This window comes from Homo sapiens, chromosome 7 (genome assembly GCF_000001405.40).
Source record: "Homo sapiens chromosome 7, GRCh38.p14 Primary Assembly".
NCBI lineage: Eukaryota > Metazoa > Chordata > Mammalia > Primates > Hominidae > Homo > Homo sapiens.
The window spans coordinates 102,966,035-102,972,456 of record NC_000007.14 but is presented as its reverse complement, the minus strand read 5'-3'; the positions used below and the strand labels follow the sequence as shown (position 1 = coordinate 102,972,456).

At 39.3% G+C, this 6,422-nt stretch overlaps 1 protein-coding gene across 21 annotated transcripts in view; it reads left to right on the top strand.

The window, feature by feature from the left end:
* The window catches only part of FBXL13 (F-box and leucine rich repeat protein 13), a 263,608-nt gene that overhangs the window by 102,340 nt on the left and 154,846 nt on the right, over positions 1-6,422 (top strand). For all 21 annotated transcript variants that reach the window (NR_105043.2, XR_927410.4, XM_017011850.3 and 18 more), the window contains one exon: positions 4,340-4,435. Coding sequence is in view for 19 of the 21 variants with exons in the window: in XM_017011850.3 (XP_016867339.1) it covers positions 4,340-4,435 (96 nt within the window). In the remaining 2 variants the exon portion in view is untranslated. The remainder of the gene's footprint in view (positions 1-4,339; positions 4,436-6,422) is intronic.

The following is a 6,422-nucleotide window of genomic DNA, read 5'->3' as shown; positions in this document are numbered from 1 at the left end:
AAATATTTTTAACATGTTGTAGAAGATAACCATTCTATTTCTACTATTTTACTGGTTACTCAAATATTTTTAATGTGTACATTTATTAATAAGGCCTAAAGTAAATTAATATTTATACTTTCTTCTTGAAGAATAATTGAAATTTAGAACACTAACTCTTGATTACTCTCTCTGGTGTTAGAGTGTTATTATTATCTAGTGTTTTTGTTCCATCTTATTGTTCTACCCCCACGTTTTCATCATGATACTGTTTTATAAAGTTAATGGCTTTACCCATATACTTATTAGATTTTTTGCCCATTGTTATTATTTGCATTTCATGCCTTTCTTCTGATTTCAGTGTTCTTTAGAAGTTCCTTTGTGAAGGGTCCATTGGAAGCAAACTCTCAGTCTATGTCTCAAAGTGTCTTTAAATTTTTTTTTTTTTTTTTGAGATGGACTCTCACTCTGTCTCCCAGGCTGGAATGCAGTGGCACAATCTTGGCTCACTGCAACCTCTGCCTCCCTGGTTCAAGCGATTTTCCTGCCTTAGCCTCCCAAGTAGCTGGGATTACAGGTGCATGCCACCACACCCAGCTAATTTTTGTATTTTTAGTAGAGATGGGGTTTTGCCATGTTGGCCAGGCTGGTCTCGAACTTCTGACCTCAGGTGATCCGCCCACCTTGGCTTTCCAAAGTGCTGGGATTACGGGCATGAGCCACTGTGCCTGGCCTTAAATTTTTTAGAGACAGAGTCTTGCTATGTTACCCAGGCTGGCCTTCAATTCTTGGGCTCAGGTAATCTTGCCTCAGCCTCTCAAGTAGCTGGGACTACAGGTGTACTACCATGCCTGGCAAAAAATGTCTTTTTTTTTTTTTTTTTGAGACGGAGTTTCGCTCTTATTGCCTAGGCTGGAGTGCAATGGCACAATCTTGGCTCACCGCCACCTCCGCCCGGGTTCAAGCGATTCTCCTGCCTCAGCCTCCCAAGTAGCTGGGATTACAGGCATGTGCCACCACGCCTGGCTAATTTTGTGTTTTTAGTAGAGAGGGGGTTTCTTCATCTTGGTCAGGCTGGTCTCGAACGCCCAACCTTAGGTGATCTGCCTGCCTCAGCCTCCCAAAGTGCTGGGATTACAGGTGTGAGCCACTGCACTCAGCCAAAAATGTCTTAATACTCATTTTTGAGTTGTAATTTACTTGCATATGGTATCTCAGATTGATAGTTTCTGCTGACTTCCACCTTATGTTGTTCTGTCTACGTGACAGTCTTTTGTACGTAATCTGTGTCAAATTGCCTGAAAAATTTTCCTGTGCTTTGGCCTTTTGCAGTTTCACTTATAATGCCATTGATATATTTTCATTTTCCTGCTTGGAACTTCCTGTGCTTTTTGAATCTGAAAAGTGTTGCCTTTCATCAGTTCTAAAACATTTTAGTCTGTGGTATTTTTAAATTTTGCTTTGATTTTATTCTCTTTATTCCCTCCTGGAAATTCTGTAAAGATGTGTGTTGGACCTTTTCATGTTATGTAATGTGTCTCTTAGCATCCTTTATATTTTTCATCTCTTTATTTCTCTACATTTTATCCTGTGTAATTTCTTCAGGTACATATTCATTTGTTGATTCTCTTCTTAGCTGAGTCGCATCTGCTATTTAACTCACCCACTGAGTTTTAAATTTCAATAACTATATTTTTAATTTTCATGATTTTATTTGGTTCTTTTACAGATCTTCCCAGTCCTGTTTTGACAACATTTGTCTCAAGAGTTTTATTTTTCTTTTTATGTCTTCATCACTTTAAAGGTTTCTTTTGAATCTTGTTGGACTTCCTTTTCCTCGTGTGTTTTGCAGTTTTTGATTGGGAGCTTGTTTTTGGAGGGCTTAATCCATGGGTATCCTGTAAGGCCTGGCTTGACTGTGTCTGTCTCTTTAGAGAGAATGATATTTATTTCTGCCAAATGTCCCAGAGTTATTACCAGTGGAACCTCTTTGCACATTAATATATCAAATCCATTTACAAAGGTAACAAATTCAAATTGGATCCCAGGCATGATGAAATTTAAATCCCAACACACATAATCGCTGGCCTTTGGTTACAAACTCTTTTTTTCTTTTCATTCATTTTTTTAAAAAAAATGAATTTATTATTATTTCTGTTTAACCCAAACCAAAAATGGTCAATATGGTTACAAATTCTTTGAGAGATTTTATTTTATTTTATTTTTTGAGACAGAGTCTTGCTCTGTTGCCCAGGCTGGAGTGCAGTCGCATGACCATGGCTTACTGCAGCCGCAGCCTCCCAGGCTCAAACAATTCTCCCGTCTCAGCCTCTAGAGTAGCTAGGACTATAGGTGTGCACCACCATATATGACTAATTTTTAAATTTTTAGTTGAAATGGGGTTTCACTATGTTGCCCAGGCTAGTCTTGAACTCCTGGGCTCAAGCAAGCCTCCCACCTCAGCCTCCTAAAGTGCTGGAATTATAGGTGTGAGCCACTGTGCCTGGCGAGAGATCTTTTTGATACCAGGCTAGATACCTTAGTTTTTCTTTTGCCAGTATGGTTGATTTCTTTTCTTTTCTTTTCTTTTTTCTTTTCTTTCCTTTTCTTTTCTTTTCTTTTCCCTCCCCTCCCCTCCCCTCCCCTCCCCTCTCCTCCCTTTCCTTTCCCTTCCCCTTTTTGGACAGAGTCTTGCTCTATTGCCCAGGCTGGAGTGCAGTGGTCCAATCTCAGCTCACTGCAACCTCCACCTCCTGGGTTCAAGCAGTTCTCCTGCCTCAGCCTCCCGAGTAGCTGGGATTACAGACGTGTGCAATAATTTTTGTATTTTTAGTAGAGACAGGGTTTCACCATGTTGGCCAGGCTGGTCTTGAACTCCTGACCTCAAGCAATCCACCTGCCTCGACCTTCCAAAGTGCTGGGATTACAGGCGTGATTTCTTTCTGTTTCATAATCCTGGATTTCTCTCTCTCTCTCTTTTCTTTTTTTTTTCTGACTCAGTTTCAATTACAGTCACGCATTGCTTAATGATGGGGATACCTTTTGAGAAGTGTGTCATTAGGTGATTTTTGTCATTGTGTGAACATCATAGAGTGCTACACAAACCTAGATGGTATAATCCAGTACACACTTGGGTTGTATGGTATAGCCTATTACTCCTAGACTACAGGCCTGTACAGCATGTTACTGTACTAAATATTGTAGGTAATTGTAGCACAATGATAAGTATATATTTAAACATAGAAAATGTACAGTAAAAATATGGTAAAAAAATTAAAATTGGCACACCTATATAGGGCACTTATCAATGGAGGACTAGAAGTTGCTCTGAATGAGTCAGTGAGTGAGTGTTGAGTGAATGTGAAGGCCTAGGATATTACTGTACACAACTACAGATAGAGTACTACACTATAAACAGTGTACACTTAGGTTACACTAAATTTATTTAAAAATTAAGTACTTGTGCTATGATATTACAATGGCTATGATGTCACTAGACAATAGAAATTTTTCAGCTCCATTATAATCTTATGGGACTGCTGTCATACATGCATCCCATCATTGACTGAAATATCATTATGCAGAGCATGACTGTACCAGCTTTGTACAGGCCTGGTGACTTTCTTATGTCTCTGCATGGCCAGTAAAATCTGAACCCATTTTATTATGAAAAGCAGCAACCATCTTTATTGTTCCTCCCTCCCAAGCAACTATAGCATGAAGCACCTTATTATCAGTCTGGGTTTATAAGGATTGGGTCCTTGCATATTTGTTTTACTTTCTTGACAACTGAATTATGTTTTTAAAAAATGTTTCTTTTAGCATTTACTGATGTTTTGTACCAGCAGGATTTCCTGATTTTTTGGTCTACCACATTTCCAGAAGTAGAAGCCAAAATGTGTTTATTGCTCTTTCCCAGAAATCCTTTTTTTTCTTCTCTGAGGAATCCTATATCTTTAGAAGGAATGTAGTTTAGTTCAGCAGACAGTATTGATTGCCTTCTATGTACCAATGACTATTTATGGAAATCATTAGTTTTCTAGCAGAATTCTATCTTCATTCAAAAAATAAAGCAAATATGCTTATCTTTCTCACCATCCTTCTGCCACTATCAATTAAAAGGATTACATTATATAAAAGGAGTCAGCAGGTAAGTTCCAGTACTTTAGATAAAACTCCTATCTTCAGATAAAATTCTAGCACTTAAACTCTTGCTATTTGCAAAGTATGGATTACCTTATTATTACTAATGCGTGTGTGTGTGCACGCACATGTGTGCACACACACAGACAAAAGGTAAGTGGACAAGTTACATCAAAGTTCACATTTTTCAAAGTTGTGTATTTTTCTTTGTGTTTAGATTTTCTTCTACCTCAGTTTAAAAGATGTGATAATATGTGGTCAAGTTAATCATGCCTGGATGTTGATGACACAACTAAACTCACTGTGGAATGCTGTAAGTAGATACTAACTGAACTATGTCTTTACACTAGTTCTTAAAGGAGAATGGACTGCTGTGAAGCCAGCTGTTGTGGGGACACCTTCTTCCATGCTCTGTGGTCACCAGCAGCAAGTGAATTTGGTTTTCTTTTGTCCAGGCACAAGCCTGGGGGAAGAGATAAAAAAGATAATAATGCTATTTTAAGAGATACATCATTAGTATTTTTAAATGTAAATGGTAGATATAAATGAATATCATTTTTGGATTGAAACAAAGCTCCATTTTATTGGATAGTTTGTACTCCATTCTGGTTTTATTACAGTGTCCCTACTTCCTTTTCATGAGCATAGACTATATGTTAAGTCCATGACCATGGGAAAGATGTTTAGGGTGTGAGGTGTGCAATGGCCTTTTCATAACTCATAATTTTTGGAAGAGTTAATTCCACTAAAAAGAGAGGATTATGCTGGGCACAGTGGCTCATGCCTGTAATCCCAGCACTTTGGAAGGTCAAGGTGGGCAGATCACCTGAGGTCAGGAGTTTGAGAACAGCCTGGCCAACATGGTGAAACCCTGTCTCTACTAAAAATACAAAAATTAGCTAGGCATGGTGGCAGGTGCCTGTAATCCCAGTTACTCAGGAGGCTGAGTCAGGAGAATTGCTTGAGCCTGGGAGGTGGAGGTTGCAGTGAGCTGAGACCGTGCCACTGCACTCCAGCCTAGGCAACAGAGCAAGACTCTGTATCATTCAAAAAAAAAAAAAAAAGAAAGAGAGGATTGGCTGGGTGCAGTAGCTCACGCCTATAATCCAAGCACTCTGGGAGGCCGAGGCAGGCAGATCACAAGATCAAGAGATCAAGACCATCCTGGCCAACGCCATCTCTACTAAAAATACAAAAGTTAGCTGGGCATGGTAGCGTGCGCCTGTAGTCCCAGCTACTCGGGAGGCTGAGGCAGGAGAATCGCTTGAACCCGGGAGGTGGAGGTTGCAATGAGCCAAGATCACACCACCGCACTCCAGCTTGGTGACAGAGTGAGACTCCATCTCAAAAAAAAAACAAAAAAACCAAAACAGGATTACAAGGATGACCTTAGTGTACCTGGGTGATGGTATGCAAAATTGACAAGAGCAGAGGTTTTTGGAGTGGCCAGGGCTGATTGATAAATAATATTGCTAATACTGTCAGCTAAAAGTTTACATTTGTGAACATGCAATTTCCTGTGAACAGGCAATTTCTCATTGCCTTCTGAATAAAGTTATTGTTTGTGCTAAAAATGCTGATTATAATTGTGCCACATGTGAACACTCACAAAAGCAGAAATAGGAGGATGGAGCAACATACAATTGTGGAAAGAGAAATTTGCTGAACATAAAGCAGTGTAACTTCCTACCCTGGCTTCGTTCCTCACTGCCATGTGCTTGTAATGCTCTTGGTCTTTATCTAGTGAGATCTCTGGGCAGACGTGTTGGCTTTTTCTAACTCCTGCCAGCTTCTGCAAGACATTTCATTATCTAAATATTGTATATATTCTTTCTCCTCCAGACCATTTGGATTCATTTTTTTCTTCTTTGTAGGTTTTCCAAAGGAAAAAGCAACATCCCCAAATATCTGTAACATAATTTAGAGATTTATTACTTTAAGCCAGTGGTTCTCAAAGTGTGGTCCTGGAACCAGTAGTATCAGCATCACCCAATACCTTGTTGGAAATGCAAATTCTTAGGCCCCATCCCAGACCTACTGAGTCAGAAACTCTTAGGGTAGTAAACAGTAATCTGTTTTAACAACCCACCTAGATGATTCTGATGCAGGCTAAAGTTCGAGAATCACTGCATTAAACCAAAAATAAAATTAAGACAGGAACACCTAATTTGTTAGCTAAGATAGGTTTGGTAAGATGAAATCAGTTCTCTTCTTGCCATTGTTGCACAGAGTGAGAGTAGTGCAACCAAGAATGGGATGTTGTCCAGATGCGACGTAAAGATGTTGAGTTAACTTATGAA